At 39.7% G+C, this 25049-nt stretch overlaps 2 protein-coding genes across 9 annotated transcripts, besides 5 other annotated features; one reads left to right on the forward strand and one right to left on the reverse strand.

The window, feature by feature from the left end:
* Nucleotides 1–670: 670 nt before the first annotated feature.
* FBXO43 (F-box protein 43) lies at nucleotides 671–17889 on the reverse strand. 8 transcript variants are annotated; one of them, XM_011516990.2, is made up of 6 exons: nucleotides 17853–17889; nucleotides 8003–9488; nucleotides 6810–6938; nucleotides 4885–4987; nucleotides 1481–1684; nucleotides 671–1370 (listed from the first exon to the last, which is right to left on the reverse strand). In XM_011516990.2, exons 2-6 carry the CDS (start codon nucleotides 9469–9471, stop codon nucleotides 1122–1124), a joined length of 2154 nt encoding a protein of 717 aa, XP_011515292.1. In that variant the 5' UTR covers nucleotides 9472–9488; nucleotides 17853–17889; the 3' UTR covers nucleotides 671–1121. The 8 variants fall into 8 exon arrangements, 7 of the variants coding, with proteins under 7 accessions (XP_011515292.1, XP_011515289.1, NP_001025031.2 ...); XM_011516987.4 differs by lacking the exon at nucleotides 17853–17889 and adding an exon at nucleotides 12371–13137; XM_017013358.3 differs by lacking the exons at nucleotides 671–1370; nucleotides 17853–17889 and adding exons at nucleotides 2276–2324; nucleotides 12371–13137 and having other exon boundaries at nucleotides 1604–1684.
* Nucleotides 11600–11749: an enhancer, noted in NCBI's record as "active region_27684". NCBI's record gives its function as "activates an Ori minimal core promoter by ATAC-STARR-seq in GM12878 lymphoblastoid cells {active_cell/tissue: GM12878}" and the evidence as "EXISTENCE:reporter gene assay evidence [ECO:0000049][PMID:35858748]".
* Nucleotides 12861–13320: a silencer, noted in NCBI's record as "silent region_19407". NCBI's record gives its function as "represses an Ori minimal core promoter by ATAC-STARR-seq in GM12878 lymphoblastoid cells {active_cell/tissue: GM12878}" and the evidence as "EXISTENCE:reporter gene assay evidence [ECO:0000049][PMID:35858748]".
* Nucleotides 17338–17477: a silencer, noted in NCBI's record as "silent region_19408". NCBI's record gives its function as "represses an Ori minimal core promoter by ATAC-STARR-seq in GM12878 lymphoblastoid cells {active_cell/tissue: GM12878}" and the evidence as "EXISTENCE:reporter gene assay evidence [ECO:0000049][PMID:35858748]".
* Nucleotides 17791–18294: an enhancer, noted in NCBI's record as "H3K27ac hESC enhancer chr8:101162699-101163202 (GRCh37/hg19 assembly coordinates)". NCBI's record gives its function as "activates a minimal SCP1, AML or CMV promoter by ChIP-STARR-seq in naive H9 embryonic stem cells {active_cell/tissue: H9 hESC(naive)}" and the evidence as "EXISTENCE:reporter gene assay evidence [ECO:0000049][PMID:30033119]".
* On the forward strand, nucleotides 17956–21323 carry POLR2K (RNA polymerase II, I and III subunit K). Its single transcript, NM_005034.4, has 4 exons — nucleotides 17956–18029; nucleotides 18667–18736; nucleotides 19144–19236; nucleotides 20614–21323. The coding sequence occupies exons 2-4, from the start codon at nucleotides 18676–18678 to the stop codon at nucleotides 20634–20636; spliced, it is 177 nt and encodes a 58-aa protein (NP_005025.1). The 5' UTR covers nucleotides 17956–18029; nucleotides 18667–18675; the 3' UTR covers nucleotides 20637–21323.
* Nucleotides 17988–18077: an enhancer, noted in NCBI's record as "active region_27685". NCBI's record gives its function as "activates an Ori minimal core promoter by ATAC-STARR-seq in GM12878 lymphoblastoid cells {active_cell/tissue: GM12878}" and the evidence as "EXISTENCE:reporter gene assay evidence [ECO:0000049][PMID:35858748]".

Genomic DNA, 25049 nt, shown 5'->3' on the forward strand with positions numbered 1-25049 from the left:
TAGCCTGGCGCGGTAGCTCATGCCTGTAATCCCAGCACTTTGGGAGGCCCAGGCGGCTGGATCACTTGAGGTCAGGAGTTCGAGACCAGCCTGGTCAACATGATGAAATCCCATGTCTACTAAAAACACAAAAATTAGACAGGCATGGTGGTGCATGCCTATAATCCCAGCTACTCTGGAGGCTGAGGCAGGAGAATCGCTTGAACCTGGGAGGCAGAGTGTGCAGTGAGCCAAGATCCTGTGAGATCATGCCACTGCACTTCAGCCTGAGGAGACAGAGCTAGACCATGCCTCAAACAAACAAACAAAAAAAAACTTATCTCTTTCTTGCTGTTCTATGAATGGATCATGCAAACTCAAATCATTTTTGGAAATGATTTATAAATCGTTTAAGTACTTTATAAATAACTTAGTAAATCTTCTTACTTAAATCTGTCTTTTCCAAGCAGCCCAAATTTGTCAGAATTTCCAGATTAAATAAATGAAATCTGTGCCTGTAGTTCTAGAATTTTTTAAAGTACTTATTTGAAATGTGTTACTTACAAGGGTATATTAGCTAAGACTCCCATTATGAATAACTATATACTTCCAATAATTTACTCTTTATGTCTTCCTAGTTATTAATATTCAGTAAATTTTACTTAACCAGAGACTGAAATTATAGAATAAATTCAATAGAACTTCTGAAAATATTTTATTTATATTTCATTTCAGTCAAGTACTCATTTTCCAAATCTATAAGGCCATCTGTCTAGAGTTCAAAATCTTTAATATTATCTGAAAAACTATTTTTTAAAAAATGATTGAAGAACATGTCAAGAGTGATGAAATGCACAAATTTAAAATGTTACATAAAACAATAAAGTACATACATATAACAACAATGAAAATTCTTTATTTAAAATACCAAGTTATTAAAATGGGTAAAATGACATAGTAAAATAAAATTTTTTCAAAACAACTTTAAAGAAAACATACAATGACATCGATTATAATATATACAAAATAGGAAATTAATCATCACCTGTCATTAATGGGAAGATTTGCATGTATTCAAAATATTCATAATTTTAAGTCAGATAAATAGAACACTGCATGGGGGAGTTCTATATTTAGTCTCTTCAGAGGCGTTTTAAATTCCGCTTACTCTGGGCACTTCCTGGGAGAGCATCTTTTCTATTTCTTGGCTTTGCTGCTCCTCTACTACATTCTTCAGACCCATGATAAGCACACAGACATAACACACAAAAGTCAAAACCACAGGCTGTTCGGCTACACAGTCCCCTTTTCTTATATGGCTGGTACTTAGCAGGGGACTGGCACCTTGGGCAAGGTTTTAATGCTTCATCAGTAAAAAGTGTTTTGGCAACCTGCAGTGAAAGCACACACACTAAATCTTCTGGTTTCATATAGAGGAGCACTTTATTTCAAACTCTGTAAATATTTATTTCTAATAACTTATGACATAATAAATACTTACCTTAACATATTCTTCCTGTTTACTACTTAAGTGAGTAACAGAAGAGCTTGCTAGAGGTGTCAAAACTTCTCCCCAGGGAGATAATGTTGACCCTTGCTCTCTCTGAGAACCAGGTATCCTAGCCTGTGCCTGCACAGATCTTAAAGCTGAGCGATTTAAAAGCTGGAGCCGAGTGGCAGCATCCTCGACATTTAATACAGCCCCCTGTGGTAAAGGACAAGAGGCATCAATACTGCAATACCAAAACAGTTCCGGGATAGCTTTCTGATGCACACGGATTTATATGCTTTGAAGAGGTTTTTTGCCATCCGAATTCTCTCCCTAGGCTGTTCCTTTTCAGAAAAAAAAACAAACAAAACAAAAAACCAACCTTTTCTCACCTAACATATAAAAGTTAAATAAATATAAAAAGAAAAAAATTTAAATTAAATTCTTCATCTAAGTTTGTATGGCTGGTTATTTTTCCATTTATTTTAAACTTGGTTCAGCAAACCTTTCCTGCAAAAGGACCAGATAATATAATATATAATCTAGACTTTGTGGGCCATGTAGTTCCAGCTACTCAACTCTGCGGTTGTAGAAAAAGCAGCTGTAGACAAGAAGTAAACAAAAGAGTGGAGAAAACCATCAAATAACTTTCTTTTATAATTTTTTTTGTTTTGGTTAATAATACATTAGAATAGTTCAAGTAGAAAGCAACCAGTCTATGTTGGAATAGGACAGCAAAGGGCCCCAGGAAGGATGTCTCTGAGGAAAAGAAGGAACAGGTAGAATACCTGATTTGTTTGGACTTACACAGAGGAGACTTTCAGTTCTGGTGGATAATGGGAGATGAATCAGGGATCTGTATAGAGAAACACTAAGCAAAAATAAATAAATAAAAGAGAGAGAAAAAACTATGCAATTATTAACTGGAGGGAAAAAGTTACACTAGAACGGAAGTGTAATCATAGTGTACAACATACTATAGCTGTGAAAAAAGTTATAATAATCTCAACACAATCTTTATAATGTCAGCACCTAATTCTGATTCATTCCCAAATGGTGGTGTAATTATAGTCATAAGATAGGAGAAGAGAGAAAGGAATTCAGAGAGAGAGGGGTTATGTAGGTAGTGGCAGTAGTAGTGAGAGGTTAGAGAACCTAATCCTTCTATAGAAAATAGTAAAGAAATGACAGGGAAATAAAATTATTTCGAAATATGGAGCTAAACACTAGAAGAAAGTGTTGAAAATGATTGTCTTGATGGATCAAGAATCAAGAGTATGAAGGCATAATGGTATATTTTGTTAGGATAGTCCAGTTTGACTTTTTAAACCATGTATTACTTTGAAAAAGATTTTAAAAAGCAAGTCAAAATAAGAAAAAGAGCATAAGAAAGGGGGGAAAAGTACAGTTCTTTAAGAAACTGAGTTTTTAAAAAAGTGATTGCTAGAATATAAGGATATAATTTTTTTTTTTTGAGACAAAGTTTAACTCTGTCATCCAGGCTGGAGTGCAGTGGCATGATCTCAGCTCACTGCAACCTCCACCTCCCAGGTTCAAGTGATCCTCCCACCTCAGCCTCCCAAATAGCTGGGATTACAAGCCTGCACCACCACACCCAGCTACTTTTTGTATTTTTAGTAGAGACAGGGGTTCCACCATGTTGGTCAGGCTGATCTTGAACTCCTGATGTCAAGTGATCCACTAACCTCTGCTTCCCAAAGTGCTGGGATTACAGGCATGAGCCACTGTGCCTGGCCAAATATGAGACTATTTCTTTTCTTTTTTTTTTTTTTGAGAATAGAACATTTCATTATTTGGAGTTACATGGAGGGTTGCCAGCACAACAATATGCTTCTTCCTTAGAGGAGTTAAGGAGTATATGGAGCCAAATGTTTAAATATTAATAAGTGCATGCTTAAACAACTGTTTTTTAAGTCTGTCCCTAGCATATAGGGCAGCATTTGAAAAACAGATGTTAAGAAGGCAATTAATATCTTCCTTATTACAAACTCCCAGAGCCAGCAGCTGCAGAAGCAGCCATGAGCTCTGAACAGGTGAAAAGGTAAAGCTTTTCTTCAAAATAAAAAAGAAAGTCAAAGTTTTAGTTAATAGCAGTCCCTAATAGTTCACTGTAATGAGAAACCTGTCAATCTATATCTGGGTGTTCATATTTGTTTATGCCATGCTTTATTCCAATTATTATATTTAGTCAAATTAGAAATTTACTTATAGTATGTTATTAAATATTTTTCGCTAGAACAAGAATGAATTAGTGAACTCTCAGAATCTTTTTTGGCCTAAAGTTGAATCTATAATCAAACATGGGTGCTAGTCATCAGATGCCTATTACACAAAATAGCATGCCTGAGAGGAATCCATCAGCTTCTATAGGACTTTTCTTGTAACTTTAAAGCCAGAATTCAAATCCTCAAGGGAGTGCAAGTTTATGATGCTTCACAGGTACTGATGTGCTTTGCTCACTCACCTTCAGGCTTGTACATATGCTACTTTCTCTGCTAAAACCCTCTTCTCTGTGTTCACCTGGCTAACTGCTAACTCATCATTCAGGTCTCAGTAGAGATGCACTTCTCTTGATTCCCAAGTATCAGTCAAAAACTCCTTTAAATAACTCTGGGCTTCCTCTAACACACCTGGATTGTAGTCACCTATTTACCTATATCACCCTCAAGGTGTGTGCTCCAAAAGAGCAGGAACCATGTCAGAAATGTTCACCATTGTAATCTGAGCACTGGCACAGTTAACTAACATGTAATGTCCACTCAAAAGACTCGGTTAGAAATGCTATAAGGGTATCTCATTATAATTAGGATCCAGCATATCATTGGTATTCAAATGCTGTTAAGAGCACACCCACGTAAGCAGCAACAAAGCCCAACAAGATGTTCTTTTTTTTTTGTTTTGTTTTGAGAGAGAGTCTCGCTCTGTCGCCCAGGCTGGAGTGCAGTGGCGCGATTTCGGCTCACACTGCAAGCTCCGCCTTCTGGGTTCACGCCATTCTCCTGCCTCAGCCTCCCGAGTAGCTGGGACTACAGGCGCCTGCCACCACGCCCGGCTAATTTTTTGTATTTTTTTAGTAGAGACAGGGTTTCACCGTGTTCGCCAGGATGGTCTCAATCTCCTGACCTCGTGATCCGCCCGCCTCGGCCTCCTAAAGTGCTGGGATTACAGGCGTGAGCCACCGCGCCTGGCCAACAAGATGTTCTTGATGCTATGTTGTTTATTCCATTTACAGACTGGGTGAAAATTGAGTTTGGGAAAACTAAGGAATTTATGAGTGAATGTTTGTTAAATGGAAAAGGTTAAAGATAGCAGGAAAACCAAATTAGGTTGTCTAGCAACATGAGATTATTATGTATTTATACAAATCCATTTTAGAGAAGTATTACATACATTACCTCAGAATCTGTTTTCAGTTGTGTGATATAAAATTTCCTCCTCCGATTTGCATTTTTATCTTGAACAACAATTTCACGCCAATTTCTGCTTACTTTCCAAACACTATAACAAAAAGATCCATCCTTATATTGCATACATTCTATAGGATTAACATTTTGTTGTATACGCTAACTAATGAGAAAAATTTGTTTTAAAGATTTCGGGCAGTAAATTTAAACCTAAAAATTTACATAAAAATGTGACTTGGTCAACATTGTTATTTCATATTAATTCATCATATAAAAGAATTCCAATTGTATATGCCAGCAATATACAGATAGATTACTCTTTTATAAATGGTCATATAAAGCCAGTATGAGTCCACTGGGAGACTGATTAAGAGGATTTAACTTCAAATGTAACATTAAAAATTTGGAACAAGAGATGCAGGAAATGATTGTCATCTATAACACAAGAGGTTTCATCAATTTCTCCTATTCCTGTGTTTAACAAATCTCTGTCATTTTGATTACATAAACACAAGCACAATTAATCCTTCATTGGCATTACTAAGTGCCAACTATAAATACTATTATGGGTCGCACCACAGAGTTCCTATTTCATTAACCAAAGTTTATGAATATGAAGCAGCTAAAGAAAAAACACAATTTTTGTCCAGTGATTGCTGATTTATCAATAACTTTGATAATATTATTATTAAAAAGTAAGACTTTGACTATTAATCTGGTCTTTCTTTGTTATTCTAACAAATCAAAAGGAGTAAGGTCAGAAAAGATTGAAATAAGTCACTTCTTACGGAGGGTCCCAGTTGTCAACGCTACTATTCTTCCAGCTACCATGCCCACTTCAATTGTCATTGACTCTCTCTAGGCTGATATATGTGCCCTATATCAGAGGGAAGGAAAGGAACAGGCAGAAGTCACCCAATGATGGGGAAGAAATGAACTACATAATTGGGTATTTGCCACAGACATTGCAACTGATCAACTCTCAAGTTACCAGGAACAGTACTGCCAACATAGTTACATACTTTGCAGTACAAATACTGTATGTTTGGAGAGATGGGAAGGAGAGATAATTGTTGAAATATGACTGAAAATCAACTGCTCACATAAGCAAGCACCCAAAAGTGTCACCCAATTTTAATTTTAACTGGCCCAAATACTCCAGCATATAAAAATAGCATTCCTGGCTGGTCACAGCGGCTCACACCTGTGACCCCAGCACTTTGGGAGGCCAAGGCAGGAGGATTGCTAGAGCCTAGGAGTTTGAGACCAGCCTGGGCAATGTAGTAAGACCCCATCCATACCAAAAATATTTTTAAAATCCTATATCTCAGCCATCTCCTTAATTTTTTAAACAGTTTATCGTTTGAACATTTTTAAAAGGCACACAATATGGGTGCACTAATCTGTTTATTATCCTACTTAAGATACACCAAATACATTCTTGATCAAATCTATTCCAGAAAGCCTTAAACCTTAATAAGAGTTTATGGAAAAATACTGGATTAGAAATCAGAGGGCTCATTATAGACCTAGATCTATTCCTGTCGCCTTGAGTGGCTGTTAGCAGGTCACTTCTCTGGGGCTCATTTCCTCATCTGCAAAACATGTGAACTAGATACCTTAGAAGACTTCCAGCTAAGAAATCCTACAGTTCTCTATAATAGACATACAATTAATGTATGGAGGAAAGATAAAGAAGGGCTTCGATAGAAGTAGTGGCCATAAAAACAACAAGAACAGAACAGGCAGTGGCTCACACCTGTAATCCCAGCACTTTGGGAGGCCGAGGTGGGAGGATCACTTGAGCCCAGGAGTTGCAGACCAGCCTGAGCAACACAGTGAGACCCCATCTCTACAAAAACTAAAAACAAAACAAAAAAACCAAGGACCCTGTAAAAAACTCTTTTGACATATACCTATCAAGAAAGAGGCTCACTAACTTCCCGCATGCTCCTCCATAACCATCATCTTGCAGAAATCCTGTTCCACATGACTTCTCTCCTTCATTGCCACGGCATTCCCATGGGTCTTGTCTTCTGATAGTCCTGTAACTCCCCCAAATTGGCATGAACAGAGTCTCATTTTAGTCTTTGTAACCTTAGTTCCCACCCTCAATATTCTGAAATTTGTTTCTCCTTATTATGTAGCAGCATTCAATCTACTGCAACATCTGTGAACACAAATTCTTCAGTTTCTAATTTCTTGAAATTCCCCAAAGTAATTAACTTTCACTGCTGTGTTAACAATAAAAATGAAATAATCCACATTCCCCTGGTTCTGGAAAGATCAAACCCTAAAATGAAAGCTAACGATTGTTTTTAAATTCTAGAACTTAAATAATTAAGTGGTATTATTTGTACACTGTCATTTCTCGGTCACCACAATGCATTACATTATTTCTGACCAAGTGTCATAACTTTAATACTGCTTGCAATCTGACAATATGATCTGAACTATTAAATCATTAAACAACTTCCATGGAATAGAGCTTGCCATCTTGAAAATTTAAAATTCAACTTTTAGCAACTCTCTTTCCAAATAACAGTGACAAGAACTTTATTCAGAAAAAAAAGACTATATTATTGCTACTTAAGCAGGCTTTTAAACAGAAGGATCAGCAGGTGCTGTGGCTCACGCCTCTAATCCCAGCACTTTGGGAGGCCGAGATGGGTGGATCTTGAGGTCAGGAGATCAAGACCATCCTGGCTAACACGGTGAAACCCCGTCTCTACTAAAACTACAAAAAATTAGCCGGGCATGGTGGTGGGCGCCTGTAGTCCCAGCTACTTGGGAGGCTGAGGCAGGAGAATGGCGTGAACCCGGGAGGCGGAGCTTGCAGTGAGCCGAGATCACGCCACTGCACTCCAGCCTGGGCGACAGAGCGAGACTCTTGCTCAAAGAAAAAAACAAAACAAAACAAAACAAAACAAAAAAACGGAAGGATCTGTACTAGGTAGCTCTGTTGGGACGTTCACTTAAACTATCTTTGATATAAGACAACAAAAGACAGAGATAATAAAACAAAATAAAGGACAACCACTCAAGTCACAGAAAAACTTTTCAACTTAAAAAAAGAAGTTTTATTTCATAAACAACTCTTACTTCTTACCTGCATAGGCTCTCTGCGGTCAAGGACTCTAAAACCATAGCAAGAATATGCTTTAAATTTCTATATTTTAATTCTGTTAAGATGTCCAGTTTTTCTATACCCATTTTCTTGCCGATCAGTCCTGCAAGTATACACTGCAGTACAGCTATTTTCTCCCCATCCCCTTGCTCTAAGAATTCATGTCCACTATTTTCCTGTAATCTTTTCCTCTTGCTTTTCATGAACAGCTCATGTACCAATTGCAAGGCTGGGGTCTTTGATAAATTCTTTAAGCTAAAGGTCAAATCCCCACTCTCATCACTACTCAGCTGACCCTCTGAGATGGCAGAAGCAGCTGCTGCTCTTTTTTCAGAGTCAGGGTGGACAATCTGCTTTTCCTCTTCTGTCTCTGACTGCGAGCTTTGTTCCCGAAGGGTGGACAGTCTTCTCGACCTTCCAAGATGTCTTGTCTTTCTTATGGTGTCCCCAACTTTGGGAGTCCCCTTATGTTTCTGCAGTAGTTCTTGAAAAGAACCCTCCTGGTCAGACAGGGAATCTTCTGATTTCTCCAAGCTAAGTGAGTTAAAACCACTGTCTTCAGGCGTTGAAATACTGCCTCTCACTTCAGGTGAAGGAGAAAGTATTTGACTTGCGTTAAATCTAATGTTTGCCACAAGATTACTTATCGGAGTCACAAATATGTCCTCATCTGTTCCACAAGTTGTTCCACTAACAGAGGAGCCCAGGAGCTCTGGACATGCATTCTCATCATTAATGCATAAACTGCTATCACTAAAGTCATGTGTGATAGAGTCTTTAAAATTATTGCCCTGAATTGGAGATATACATTCAACTTCAAATAGGCTACAATCATCTTTGGAATCATCAATTGTGGAAGTCTTTTGCTGAGAAAAATTAAGCCTCAATTTTTGACTGCATGAAGTCACTTCTTCTGTTTTTAAAGTGCTAGTAACTAAAGGGCTAAAATTATTTGCCCTGGAAAAACCTGAAGCACTGCTTGGAATATTTTTTTCTAAGTTGATAACTTGGCTTATACTACTTTCTAAAGAACTATTTTGTGATTCAAAGTCCCCTTTTAGAAGAGCGAAAGATACATTCAACCTTCTGCGAGGTAAACATTTTTTCCCACTGATTTTAGGTGTTTCACAAAGTTCTGGGGTTTTATCCTTTTCCTTTCTAGGCAAGATACATTTCTTTTTTTGAGTGGGAGATTCTAAAGGATGTGTTAAGCCCAGGCCTGAAGTTTCAGGGTGCTCATAGAGTAATGTTGGGCCTTTTTCTTTCTTTCCAAGATATTCTTTATCTATATTATCAAAGCTACAAGATTTTAACTCATTGTAGCCACTATCTTGAAATGAAGATGTGGAACAAAAATCTCTGAAGGTGGAGTACTTGGAGTTGACAATTGGAGGAGAGTCCGCCCCATTTCCTGCTTCAGTGCCAGCTTGACCTGAGTGCCTTTGCGACATCTTCAAAATCTCTGTTTCTGCAAAGTGACAACAAAGTTATTCTGCCTTTGAAATGAGTATCCAGGCAGCTTATACCAAAATACATTATTTGTTATGAGTACAGATAATAATGGAAAATTGTATGACAATTTTTGAAAAGTTACTTTAAAAAAACAATTCTACCCCATAAGAAACTGATGTGTATCCTACTTAAAACGAGTTCTTGACATCACAAAGCCAAAATGTTCAGGTTATAAATATTCAAAGATCACTTGATTAATCATAGGCTAAGCATCATGCACACATATTTTATTGAGCTACCCTAAAGAGAAAAAAACCTAGAAGCATTATTTTTAGATTATTTTATTACCTTATGATTTTCACAGAACTAAACAATTTTGATTTTAATATTCCAGCTTATTTGTGCCAGCCTATATTAGTCTACTCAAAAAATGCTATATGCTACTTTTTAAACACCTTGGGAATGTGTCAAATAATGAGTGCTGCCTCTAGATCTACCTGCAATCAGGCTGAACAACTCAAGTAATGTTCAAACATGTAACATAGACCTGTTGTAGAAACCTAGTCCCCATAACCATTCACGAGATGTGAATTCCCAGACTTAAGACTTTGCAAAGACTGGCTCATCAATGAACTACTAACACATTCTTCTTGAGCTAACCATAATGAACCACTGCACCACAGATAGGGCCATTTCAAACTTGGCATGTTGTACTTATTCATATCTCACTTTCTAAATATTTTGTGATGCAAGGTCCAGTTTCAGCCTTGAATTCACAGTTAATAGGCAACTATTTATGGGAAAACCACCATTTAAAATATTCTTGAAGTTGCAAATAAAGAATGCAACTCAATTACTTAAAGAACAGTTACTCAGTAGTTACATGAGCAAGGAATGACACTAAGAAATATTTTACTCCTTAAACTTTTCAACAGTGTCATCACATTCCTTCTTTTTAGAAACTTGAAATAAATCTTAACTCAAAGCTAACAAATTTGTTTTGACAAAAATAGTGTTAAGAAAAAAATTTATTATAGTTTTTGATATTTTTCCAGATGATTCAAAGGACATGAAGAAGACTGTCATTCCTTCAAAGTTTTCTCCAGGACAAATGCACAATTTTTCTCCATTAAAAGATCCTGGGAAGATCTATTTATTGGCTGTAATGCGACAGTAATTTATTTATGCTTAAACTTAATCAGATATATGAGTGAATGATCTTTGTTACAAAAGCAAATTGCTACTCTAAACACAAAATATTTCTTTATGGTTTGATGATCATTAAAAGATTATTTTTACTAAACAAAGTCTAAGTATTTTTTAACCTTTTAAATCTATACTCGTTTTTGATAAATGTCATACATGTCCCCTTCTGATCTACATCCTCTCAGATCACTGCTAACTTCTGCACATGGTCACAAACCAAATAGATTTATCAAATTGCTTTTTATAATTTTGTTATATTTTTAAACAATTTTGTTTTACAAATATTAAATAAGTAGAATGCATATTAAAATTACATCTCCACCCATGAACTGTTTTCTCCCTCTCTGAAGGTAATTCTGTTAAATAACACTTTTCACTCAATTTGCGTCACAGCCCTTTTATTTTTAATTTTTAATTTTTTTATTTTTTATGAGACGGAGTCTCGCTTTTTCGCCCAGGCTGGAGTGCAGTGGCGTGATTTCTGCTCACTGCAGCCTCTGCCTCCCGGGTTCAACCAATTTTCCTGTATCAGCTTCCCCACTGACTGGGATTACAGGCGCCCACGACCACGCCCGGCTAATTTGTGTATTTTTAGTAGAGACGGGCTTTCGCCATGTTGGCCAGGCTGGTCTCGAACTCCTGACCTCAGGTGATCCACCCAACCTTGGCCTCCCAAAGTGCTGGGATTACAGGCAATAGCCAACGCGCCCGGCAGGTCACGGTCCTTTTAAAAGGTTATGGCAATTGTACTGCTACTTCACCACTAGGTGTCTCACAATGCTAGAATTTGGGAAACTCAGAGGCAAATTGTTAAAAACAAAGTGGGGAATGCAGATATTATCTCTTTCCTCTAAAATGTTATCCAAAAATCTATTCTGGCCGGTGGCTCACGCCTGTAATCCCAGCACTTTAGGAGGCCGCGGCGGGAGAAATGCTTGAGTCCAGGAGTTTAAGACCAGCCTGGGTAACATAGTGAGACCCCATCTCTTAAAAAAAAAATTGTTTCTGTTCATCTACACACTTGAAGTTGCCTCCAACGTCCTTTCTCTGCTAGCATTTTCATCTTTCTACTACCCCAAGACGTTGGTCTCAAACGTGGTTCTTCGCAACTGAATTTTAAAATTATTCATGTAAAATCATGGACTGTCTGTTGTATTTTATGGACTCAACAGTTCACGGATAAATCAATCAAGCCTCTTCGATATTCATTTTTAAAAACTAGGCTTCTGATAAAAGGCTGAGAAAACTTATTCCTAAAGTGTTCTTTAAGAAAAAAAAAAAAAAAAGCAGCGGCCGGGCGCGGTGGCTCACGCCCGTAATCCCAGCACTTTGGGAGGCCGGGGCGGGCGGATCACGAGGTCAGGAGAGCGAGACCAACCTGGCTAACACGGTGAAACCCCGTCTCCACTAAAAATACAAAAAAATTATCCGGGCGTGGTGGCGGGCGCCTGTAGTCCCAGCTACTCGGGAGGCTGAGGCAGGAGAATGGCGTGAACCCGGGAGGTGGAGCTTGCAGTGAGCCGAGATCGCGCCACTGCACTCCAGCCTGGGCGACAGAGCGACTCCGTCTCAAAAAAAAAAAAAGAAAGAAAAAAGAAAAAGAAAAAAAAGAAAAAGCACCTACCACATCAGAGAATGAAGTACTTACATTAAACCCAAATGTTCTTCATTTGTTAAAGTGGAAACTCTTACCATCAGTAAATCTTGAGCTCTTAGATGTCAAAGTTACGTAGGCTTCCAAACAAGAAATTCTCTCATCTTTGTCTTTAAAACTCATGCCAAAATAATGCCACTTAAAGAGGAAAACTTTAGTTTGCACAATTAATTGAAAGGTGCAGCAGCATCATGATTGCTCAAAGTCGAAGGGTACACAGGGTGCATGCCGCAGGGATTATTCCTAACACTTGAGAAGGTCTAAATCATTTTGAATTTCCTTCAGCCCTCCAGAAAATAGTTATCTTAATATCCTTGTTTTCTCCAGCTGGACTTAGACATGAGTAAACTTCCCAAATTCGGGTTCCTGAAAAGGCAGCGTGTGCTGCAGCCTGGCACTGACTCCCCCGAGGAGCTATGGCGGGCGGGTGGGTAACGGTCTCACCAGGGCGTCAAAGATCCGCTAGGCCCAGAAAGCCAAGGGCAGCAGGGGATGGGCTGGCGTCACCAGGAGCGGAGGAGTGAGGGCTGCCGCGCGCCTCCCTAGGCCCAGCACCTGGAAGACACAGGGCGACGCGGGGCCGGGCCGCCGGGAGACCCGCTAACGGGCACTCGCCTGGGGTCCCGCCGCCTGCCTGGAGGCCGCGGGGCCGGGCGAGGCGCCGAAGCGGACAGGTGGGAGAGGAGCCGGGCAGCAGCCGCTGGATGGGCCGGGGAGAAGCCTCGGCCTCGCCCCCTGGGATGCGGGCTATGGCAACCCCCACGCCAGCTTCGCGTGGGGCCGCTGCCTTTACCTCCTTAGGTTTGAACGGCCCGCCCGGGGTAACCGCTAAGCGCAGCCCCGCCCCGCGCCGCGCTGTCCCGCCCCTTCCTCCGGCTCTGCAGCGCTCCCGCCCGGCCGCCCGCAGGCCTGGGTCCTCGCTTGAGCGGGAGGAGCGCCCCCTCTCTCGCTCACCCCTGCACCCGTCCCGAGGCGGGTCAGAAAGGCTCTGCTTCTCCCCATTCCCACTTTGGGAAGCATTACCGTATTTAGGAATGCTAACGTGGCCTACAGTGGGATGCCATTAGAAATCATGTATGAGAATGTTCCCTTGGAAATGATTCTCCAAACTGTCAAGTGCAAAAAGCAAGTTACAAACTGACCCCTTTTAGGTTAAAAATATGGATATACACAGGATGAGGTCTGAAAGGTATGAATAACTTGGATACGGTAAATTTGTACAGGATTATGTTTGCTTTTTAGTTCTTTTTATCTGTGTTTTCTTCTCATGTTTCAACAATGAATATATACAGATTTTGTGATAAAAAAGCTGAGCCGGGCCTGGTGGCTCACATCTGTAATCCCAGCACAGAGGTGGGAGGATCACTTGAGCCAAGGAATTTGAGACCAGCCTGGGCAACATAGTGAGACCCCCATCTCAAAAAAAAGATTTTTAAAAAATCTATTCATAAAAACCAGAGTGAAATGTGTTCATTGTTTACAAACATCCATTTTTGGGCATCATGAACTCCCAAGTACCCTCAAAGCCAAATAAATTTTTTAAACCCTAATTTTTTCATTCAATAAATATTTACTGGGCGTCTATTATATGCCAGGGACACTCCTGCTGCTCTTGGCAGCTTCTTCCTAGTCTCCTTTTTCTGGCTTCTTTTCCTTGGCCTACTCCCTAAATGAGAGGTCCTACCTCAGCATTTTTATTAGTTTATCATCCCATGCTTATGTAATTCTTATTCAGAACTTCAACCATCACTTTTAAGCCAATAACAGGCACTACCACCACTCTTCTCTGACTGGACATTTCTCCAACTGGATGTCCCTCAGTCATCCAAAACCAAACTCACTAAAATTATTATGAGACAGGGTCTCGCTCTGTCACGCACGCTGGAGTGCCGTGGTGCAATCTTGGCTCACTGCAACCTCCACCTCCCAGGTTCAAACGATTCTCCTGCCTCAGCCTCCCGAGTAGCTGGGATGACAGGCACCCGCCACCACGCCTAGCTAATTTTTGTATTTTCAGTAGAGACGGAGTTTTGCCAGGTTGGCCAGGCTGGTCTCGAACTCCTGACCTCAGGTGATCCACCTGCCTCAGCCTCCCAAAGTGCTGAGATTACAGGCATGAGCCACTGTGCCCGTCCACTAACAGTTATTAAATTCCAACTATGTGCCAATTACTGTGCTAGGTACTGGGAATACAGAGCTGACACAGCCACAGTTACTGCTGTTAAGGAGCTCATTGGTATAGAGCAAGTGCTGTAACAGAGGAACAGTAGCAGCACAAAGGAAAGAAGAACCAGCTAACTCTACTGGAGAACAGAGTGCATGAGATAGATTTTGATGTACAAGTGGCAATTTAAAAGGCAGACAGCAGGAAATTCCAAACTTAAAATGTATAAGGGCAGGAAAATTTCAAACTCAAAACAAAATGTGCAAGAGCAGTTGGGCACATGGAGAAGCTGCAAATAATTTGTTATAGGCAGAAACTAAGAGTTGTTAGAGGAAAGGATTAGAGAAAATTCCTGAGAAGTGAAGAAGCTAAGTCTTGGGAAGTTCTGGTTGCACCTTCAGAGTTTGAAGAGCATTTTAGAAAGTCCACTCTGGTGGCAGAATGGAGGACAGAATGAAGAGAGGCAAGGGTGGCTGCTAGGAGACCAGTAGGAAGCTACTGCATTTCTCCAGAAGGCAGTGGGGGGTGGAGCAGAACCAAGATGTGACATGTTCAGTTGGCAGAATCAACTGCATGGGGCAAGGAGTGAGGGAATGAAGAGTATAGGCTTGGGAGAAAATAAGATGCATTTAGTGTGAGGTTGTTAAGTTTGAGGTACCTGTAGGACTGTAAAGAATTAATGAATTACACATTCTTCAAGACAGCACCTCTCTGAAGCCTACCCCCACACTCCCTGGTAGAGTGAATAGTACCCTCTCTAGCTCTTCAAACAAATCTCTATTACAGCCATTTTACCCTTTCCTGCCCCACATTTGCAATTCTCCTGCAGAATTCTACTGAATTTTCTCTGTGTAGTTTACTACCTTCTAAAATCCCATATTATCTACTCATTTTTGTTTAATGTCTGCTCCCCATCTCCATCCCAATGTAAACAGGGCAGGGAATTTTGCCAATGGTTAAGTAGAATCCACATAACCCCAAAACCATTTAAACATTGCCCTTTTCTTTTTTCTCCAGTTAATTTATTTTTCTTGAGATATTTTATTATGTCTGAGGAGTGAAAGACTATATCATATCTCCTTTATATTGTTCAAGGAAGAATCATTGTCACCTCTCCCCACCTAAAAACGGGCAAAAAGACACCTAGTTATATGTAGTTTGCCTGAGCTTTACTTACATACTCCAGATTGAAGCCACTGAGCTGTAATTTCATATTCTTTACAGTCTTTTGCCTTTTTGCTTCCCTTTTTTTTGAGACAGAGTCTCACTTTGTCACCCAAGCTGAAGTGAAGTGGGGCAATTTCAGCTCACTGCAACCTTCGCCTCCCGGGTTCAAGCGATTCTTGCACCTCAGCCTTCCAAGTAGCTGAGATTACAGGTGCATGCCACCATGTCTGGCTAATTTTTTGTATTTTTAGTAGAGACGGGGTTTCATCATGTTAGCCAGGATGGTCTTGAACTCCTGACCTCAAGCAATCTGCCCGCCTCAGCCTCCCAAAATGCTGGGATTACAGGCGTGAGCCACGGTGCCCAGCCCTTTGCTTTCCTTTCTTGCATTGGGTGTCATCCCATCACTAATTTCAGAACTCTAAAACCCACCTGCTTGCCACAAAATCTGATGCTTCTTTTTGGGACCATCCAATAAAACGTAATGGGAGATTTCCCAAATTACCATGATATTCAAGCTATCTGGATATATTTAAGTGAATATAATCAAGGAAAAAGGAAAGACAGAGATTCAGGGAAAAAATAGCAACTTGCATCTCCATAACCTTCTTAATAAAGAGTTAAAAGCATTGTTTTCCAGGATGGCAAGACAACTACCCCCATTAAAACAGAGCAATGCAATGATGTCTGGCATGTAGTACATGCTCAGAAAAAGTTAATGCTATCATTGATAATAGTGTAGCTTACACTGACCAAACTCCCAAGTGATCCTAGAACTACCAGTCTCTGTTGATAGGAAAGAGCGTGTTGGATTGGGAACTAGCACCAACATGAATTCTTGTTGAAATTCTGGATCTTCTTGCTATGACTTGTCATTACTTTGCCCTTTTGTAGGGCCCCAGGACCCATTTGTATTCTACATATGTTGATCCATTCTGATCTCCATAAATTGTTCTGCACGAGAATTATCTTGATATTTCAACTGGAGAGTTAATATACAAGAGAGCTTGTAAATATGAAAGTTTGACTTTTGGGATCACTCTGTCATCTTTCGCTTAGGATAACAATGGTTCCATCTAATAGTTCTTACAGGGAAGCCTATTGTGCCTCTTGTATTAGATCACCTCTTTGGTTAAGAGGAGAGGTACTTTGTAACAGGGCTAATGGTTAAAATATTTATGCTCTGTTAGCCTGTCTGTGAAGAAAGAAGCCAGGAACTGCTGCGTTTTCCTGAAGGGTTTTTAAATGGCATCTTCCTGGAAAGATCAACTTAAATCTCTCAAGCTGGTCTGGGGAGATGCAACAGAAGGAGTTTGAACTTCTGGAAGTGAAAGGTGAAGCTCAAAGTTCTCAGATTTCTGGATGGAGGGCCCGAAAGGAGTATAACCTGCTTAATAAAATATCAGACATAGTGCGTGTTGGGAGAAAGAACGCCTACTTCTTTCACTAACTTTAAAATAGTTATTAACAATTAAGTTATTTTTAAATTTTTTAAAATAGCTTCATTTTCTTCACCCTACTAAGTAAAATATCTTCTGGAAAAAAAGGAAACAAATGTAAACGTTCTGAACCCAACTGATCCATCATACTGAAATTCTGATACTTGAAAGAACGCACCTCCACTGAGCAGGGCGTTTTGTTCTTCTATGGTGGAATACATAGAACGGAGGGCGGGTGAGTAGACAGCGAAAGCTACCAAAATCTCTTAGATTTAAGAGGGAGTTGTTCATGTAGCTACCGTCACACTAACCTTTGCTTTAAAACAAGTAAACGGATTGGGCGAGGGATGTGACAGTAGCCTATCAGAGAAGGGGCCAGAAAGCAAAAACAAAATCAAGAGAAAGGTAGGAGGCAGCTGCCCCACTGCCCCAGTACAGATATCAAACAATTTTTAAAAACAATCTGGAAAAGTGTTTTTCTACGTGAAAATCATTGGTGTAGTCGATTCTTCTATGTTCGTCCGAGTAACGGCTATCCTAGTACTTCTCGGACACTGTCATCTCGGTTTTTCTTCTAACCCTCTACCCTTCTGGAAAAGTGTTACTTTGTACCACTACATTAGTCAGAAACACACACCGCCTTGTACTTGCATAACTGTTAAAATGCTCTGCTTTCCTGCAAAATTAAAATAGCTGGGGACCAGGCACTTAAACCCGTAGAATCTAATAGACAGAAAGCCCCTGCTTTACCGCCTTTGCGCCATCCGGGTTGTCTGGCCACGCCTGGGGCGGAAGGGGCGGGGAGTAAGAGAGAGAGAAAGAGAGACAGCACTGTGCGTCATGTACCAGCGCCGGAAGTTGGTCTCGACACCTGGACTAGCCGGGTTGTATTTGGAAACGCGGAGTGAGTTTTTCCGTGCTGTGTAGGTAAGCGAATTGGCGGGTTGGGGTTTGTGGTGGATATTTGGGCCAAAACTGGAAAGACACTTGGGGTAAAAAGGTCCGGTATGGGGGTAGAGTTGAGAGTGGCTGGGGATACGGTCCATGCTATCGCTCTTTTCCCTATTTTCTTTTAGTTTAGATGTTTAGCCAGTAGGAGTTATTTCATTGTTCTTCCCTCGGTGAGCCTGTTCCCCTGTTGAGGGATATAATTTTTTTTGGCTAACTTCTGCTAGAGTTTGGGAAAATAGAACTTGTGTTAAACGAGAACGCGAGCTTTACAGTCAGATCTGTATCCCTTTGACTTTTAGTAGCTGAGTGATCCTGCGGAAATTAACATGTCTAAGTATCGGTTGCGTCCTCTGTAAAACAAGAGTGATGTCTCCTAGGATTGTTATGAAGATTATAATGGCCTAACACGTATGAAGTAGTTATTATGTCCAGTTTGGGGTAAACGCTCAATACTTGTGTGTATGCGTTTCGTCCTTGAGACCTAACCCATAGGATTTGGGGAAAGGAACAGATTAGGAATTGGATCTTTGTAGCTTTTCCTGAGAAAAATGGGCCCGGATGGACTTGTGAGAAGCCCTTTTGAGATATTCAGTATTTGAGTCTGTGATTTCAGGGGCTAACAATGGACACCCAGAAGGACGTTCAACCTCCAAAGCAGCAACCAATGATATATATCTGTGGAGGTAAGAGTAGCACTTACCTAAAGTAAGAATATTTTATTTAAGTTTTTTTGAAATTGTTACATTTATTCTTTGCTTAAATGAGTTACTGGTCTTCAGAGTTATAAAGTAGAACACTTTAGCAACCATAAAAAAAATCGTTGAGGTCAGTAGACCTGGGTTCGTCCTTGGTCTTCTGTTTACTAACAGAAAAAAACAAAGCTCGTTGAGATTTCATTCTCTCTCCTGGAAATATGCATGGCCTACAACCTTTTTCTTTCCTATTTAATATATTTAATAAAAGCAGCAGACCCTTGAGATTGAGTATATTTTAGTGTTTTGGATTGCCTTAGGTAAATAATACATTTAAGATAATTTGTCTGTAATATTTTCCTCTTAGGCATTGAGTAAATTTTTTTTTTTAATTCTAGAGTGTCACACAGAAAATGAAATAAAATCTAGGGATCCAATCAGATGCAGAGAATGTGGATACAGAATAATGTACAAGAAAAGGACTAAAAGATGTATCCTTTTAACGATGCTTTCTAAATATGAGTTAGGAGGAAATGAATAATGCTGGGGTTGATAAAGATTAATTTCTGGTTAAAATGATAACTTTCTGGATTACAGTACTTAAAAAACAAACATGATTAGCATTTTCATGGACCAATGCATAGGCTCTAAATAATCTAAATAATGCTAGTTGATTTTGGTTCTCATAAATTTATTTTTTAGGGATTCTGTGCAGTCAAGCTTGAGGATAGGGATACATTCTGAGAATTGTGTCCTTAAGCAATTTCATCATTCCTACAGAAACCTAGACCGTATATCCTACTATACATACACATCTAGGCTATATGGTATAGCTTATTGCTGCTAGGCTACACACCTGTACAGCATGCTATTGTACTGAATAGACAATTGTAACACAATGTTTTTGTATATCTGAACATAGAAAAGGTACAGCAAAAATAGAGTATAATCTTATGCGACCACTGTTTATATGTGCTCCATCTTTGACCAAAACGTCATTATGGGTGCATGACTACATTTATATAAGTATTCATTCTTGAGCTTCAGTTTATGGACAAGCTAAAGTTCACGAGGAGAAATACAAATATTGTGTATACTACCTAATGGAAAAAGTTGGGCATACAAATTGTTCAAATACTGAGAGTAGGCCCAGCATGGTTGCTCACACCTATAATCCCAGCACTTTGGGAGGCTGCAGGAGTTCAAGACCAGCCTGGGCAACATAGTGTGACCCCCATGTGGAAAAATAAAATACAGAGTAAATTGTTATGATACAACTAACACACATTGTAAATCGACGGATTATCCGCTTTAACATTACTTTAGTGTTTTTTTTTGTTTGTTTTTTGTTTTTTTTTGAGACGGAGTCTCGCTCTGTCACCCAGGCTGGTGTGCAGTGACGCAATCTCGGCTCACATTGCAAGCTCTGCCTTCCGGGTTCATGGCATTCTCCTGCCTCAGCCTCCTGAGTAGCTGGGACTACAGGCACCCGCCACCATGCCCGGCTAATTTTTTTTATTTTTTAGTAAAGATGGGGTTTCACCATGTTAGCCAGGATGGTCTCGATCTCCTGACCTCGTGATCCGCCCACCTCAGCCTCCCAAAGTACTGGGATTACAGGCGTGAGCCACTGCGCCTGGCCTGCTTTAGTGTTTTTTGATACATTTTATGGAAAAGGTGGTAATAAAAATTGAAAGTGTTTTTAGTTTATTTAAAAACCAGTTGTCATAGTAAATAGTGAATTCCATTCTTTTTTGCATTTTAAGTTAAATAACAAACCAGCTTATTGCAAAGAGAAAGTGACTTTGAAACCTTCAGTCTTAATAATGTTTAAGTACCGTTTTTGTCCTTAACTCAAATTAATACAGTGGTCGTTTTTGATGCTCGATGAATGCTGGGAATTCAGAGGAATGTCTTCACTTATACTTGGATTTGCTCTCTTCCCATTTCTGATTGTTGTATAGCTTTCGATTTTGCTTACAGTAGTTCCCCCTTATCTTCGGGAGATACATTCCAAGGCCCCCAGTGAACTCCTGAAACCTCAAACAGTACCAAACCTTTATACACTGTTTTTTCCATATATATATACCTATGATAAAGTATAATGTATAAATTAAGCATAGCAAGAGATTAATAATAATGTAATAGAACAATGATAACATACTATAATAAAAGTTATGTGAATGTGGTTGGTCTCTCTTGCTTTCAAAATATCTTCTTGTACAGTACTCACCTATTTTAGAATGTGGTTGACTACAGGTAACCAAAACCACAGAAAGGGAAACTTTGGATGAGGGGGGCACTACTGTACTTAGGAATACAACTATATACATATGATTTTATTTTTAAGACCATATTATATTTGGGTATCTACTAATATTTTGTATAAAGCAATTTTTTGTTCCATTACGTGACTTTTTGTTTTATTGTATATGTAATTTAACACACAATAAAGGGTAAAGTTGCTTCCCCAAACCACACTTTTAATCAAAACCTAGAATCATCTGCAGTCCTTGTTAAAAATGCAGGTTTCTAGAACCCTCTGAAGTTCTGATTAAATAAATTTATTGCAAACCACTGTCCTGTGTCACTGTGTCATTTGATATGAAGTATACCATTGTGCTTGGTGTCAGTATGCATATGTCATCTTGAGTTCAGTTTTTCATTTATTACTAGGTATAGGCCTTTCTGTATTTTCATATAATGCTTGGTTCTCTTTTAAATCTCAGAATAATGAAGGGAAACTTTAATTGTTTTCTGTAAGGCAAAATCAACCCCAAGCAAAGTGAATGAAGCAGGCTGTTAAGCCAAGTGCAGTTTCCAAGGTGTAATCACTCATTAAGGTCAACAGTTCTGCTTTTAGGATATAAAAAGAACAGGCAGTGACTCGGGAGGCTGAGATGGGAGGATCACTTGAACCCAAGAGTTTGAGGCTGCAGTGAGCCATAATCATGCTGCTGCACTCCAGCCTGATGGACAGTGCAACACCCTGAGTCAAGGGCTGGGGAGGGGAGCGTTGGTTTACACTGAATTATTGGATAAATGTTTAAGTCTTCAGCCTTGATCTTTGGGATGTAGAATTAATGGTCACACTTATACGCTATTCTGTTCAAGGATTCCATGGTTGTGGAATGTCATGTTGGCCAGCCTGATGTGCATTTTAAAGATTAGATGTATTCCAACTTTATTAATAGTTATGTCTGTCTTTGACATTCAAAATATTGTCCATAATACTTTGTTAAAAAAAACCCTGCATTTTTACCACCATCTTCATATATTAAATTCTATAAATTTATTACATGCTATATGAAATACTTCCATGCTCAGATTTTTGTTTTGTTTTGTTTTTTTAAGACCGGGTCTCCCTCTGTTGTCCAGACTGGAGTGCAGTGGCATGATCATAGCTCACTACAGCCTCCATCTCCCAGGCTTACACAATCTTCTCACCTCAGCTTCCTGAATAGCTGGGACTGCAAGCACACACCACCATGCTGGCTGATTATTTTGATTTTTAGTAGAGATGAAGTCTCACTACATTGCCCAGGCTGGCAATGAAATTGAGCTTTCATAATTTTATAATTTTAGTATATTCCTTCTTGAACTTTTTAGATATGGGAGTCTCAATACATGGTATTTCTTTATGACAGTTCCCTAAACAGATAAATCCCCAACTTATGGGATAATATACTTCTCTTAACTCTTCTCATTTTAGACTAAGTCCTTTGCATATCAGTAGTTTAATTGAATATTGTTATCTGGTTAACTGGGCAGAATAACTTCATGCAAAATGTATTACAGCTGGAACTCAGACTGCTTTCAGTCAGCCACTTTTTGTGCTCCCTTCATGTATAAACTAGATGTAATTTTACCTCTTACCTACCTAGACAGTTTCAAGGAAAAAACTGATATAAAATTGCTTTTAAAACATTCTTTTGACTAGTGCTCTGTCAATATGAAAATTAGTAAGCTTGAGCTTGATGTTAGCACATCACTTGGTACCCTGTAAACTGCTTACTGACTGCACACACTGAAAAGCACATCCTTGTCCATGGGAAAAGCACTGAATGGAGATTTGTTCAAATTCAGCCCTGCCCCTCAATGACTGGCCAATTCACTTTATTTCTTTTAACTTCAGCTTCTTTATCAAAGTGGAGGAATTATGATTATAAGTAATCACAGGGATTATAGAGATAACAGTGCTTTAAGATAGCTATCTTAAGAGATTGGAGTTATGAAAAATTCAAAAATGAAATCAGAAATGAAGCCAGGAGTGGCGGTTCACACCTGTAATCCCGGCACTTTGGGAGGCCAAGGCGGGAGGATCGCTTGAGCTCAGGAGTTCAAGACCAATTTGGCCAACATGGTGAAACCCTGTCTCTACTAAAAATACAGAAATTACCTGGGTGTGGTGGTACATGCCTGTAATCCCAGCTAGTCGGGAGGCTGAGGCATGAAAATTGCTTGAACCCAGGAAGTGGAGGTTGCAGTGAGCTAAGATTGCACCACTGCACTCCAGCCTGGGCGACAAGTTGCCTCATAATACATAATACACACATGTCCTCACCCTTCCTTAGAATAAGCTTTGTGTAATAAGTTTAGGTGGCGTGGTTATTTGAACAGAGAGGACTGAAGGATGAGAAAGAACATTACCGAAACAGAAAACACTCCATGTAAAAGTCATGGGGTGGAAAGTGAGCTTAATCTTGTTCCCACTTCAGAATCAAGCCCATGTGACTCAAACTTTATGACAGGAGGGATAGTGGGAGGAGATGAGGTTGCAGAGGTGGGCAGAGGCCAGCTCACTTAGGGTGTTGTGATGCAAAGCCATTGGGACAGTAAGCAGGAGAGTGACCTGGTCTGATGTGAAGAATTACCAGGCTGTTGTGTGAGAATAGACTATGTAGGACAGGTAGCAACAAAGAAACAACAGACCGTCTGTAATAGTTAGTGGTAATGGTGGCTGGGCCAGGGCTGTAGTTGTGGAGGTGGTGAGAAGTATCTGGCTGTGGGACTTACTGATGGATTGGTTAGTAATTAAGTGCTCAGTAAACAACATGGGCTTTGGTGTAAGGCTTTGGGTCCAAATACGTGCACCACCCCTTGTTACCTGGCTAAGTGACCTTACCAGGCCTCACTTTATCTCCTTGTTTCTTGGATGATATCTTCTTTTATCTCTATGAAGACTAAAGTGATTTAAAAAAATTTTTTTTTTATTTTATAGAGCCAGCCTCTCACTATATTGCACAGGCTGGTCTGAACTCCTGGGCTCAAGCAGTCTGCCTGCCTTGGCCTCCCAAAGTGCTGGGATTACAGGCATGAGCCACTGTGTCCTGCCAAGCATTAGAATTTTTGCCACTAACAGTGCTTGGTAGCAGACCGCAGGTCTGTAATTTAAGTGCAAAAGGGAAAGAGAAATACATTTACAGAACTGCCAGACACTGTAAATTAACTTTGATCTTCATCATCTATTTTAACTAGTTTGAAATTATAAAACTGAAATAAATTTCCTGACAAGTAACCTCTATTGTTTTATTCATCTGAATTGTATTAGTATTTTGTCTTATTCACCTTTTCATCCCTGTGCTGAGTATGGTGCCTGACTCATAACCAGCACTCAGAAAACGTGGAATTCATGAAAAGGAAGAGGGAATTTTGTCTTTCATTTACTCTTTTTTTTTAAAGAGGAAGAGGTAAGTAAATCTTGGTTGCAATGCACTCTGAAATTTTAATTACATTTTTTATAGTTAAATAGGAGTAATCAATTTACTTAGCAGGGAATACAGCAGTCCGGGATAACAGAACAGTAGCAGCGTTTTAAAAAAATATTTTATTTATGGGCCAGGTGTGGTGTCTCATGCCTGTAATCCCAGCACTTTGGGAGGCCGAGGCGGGCAGATCACTTGAGGTCAGGAGTTCAAGACCAGCCTGGCAAACACGGTGAAACCCATCTCTACTAAAAATGCAAAAAAATTAGCCGGGTGTGGTGGCGGGCGCCTGTAATCCTAGCTACTCAGGAACCTGAGGCAAGAGAATCGCTTGAACCTGGGAGGCAGAGGTTGCAATGAGCCAAGATCACGCCACCGCACTCCAGCCTGGGCGACAGAGCGAGACTCTGTCTCCAAAAACAAAAAACAAAAAACATAAATACAATAAAAATTTAAAGTATTTAAATATATATATACATATATATATGTGTGTGTGTGTGTGTGTGTGTATATATATATATATATATACACACACACACACACACATATATATATGTATAGTGTAGAGGCAGGGTCTCACTGTGTTGCCCAGGCTGGTC

This window comes from Homo sapiens, chromosome 8, assembly GCF_000001405.40.
Source record: "Homo sapiens chromosome 8, GRCh38.p14 Primary Assembly".
Lineage (NCBI taxonomy): Eukaryota > Metazoa > Chordata > Mammalia > Primates > Hominidae > Homo > Homo sapiens.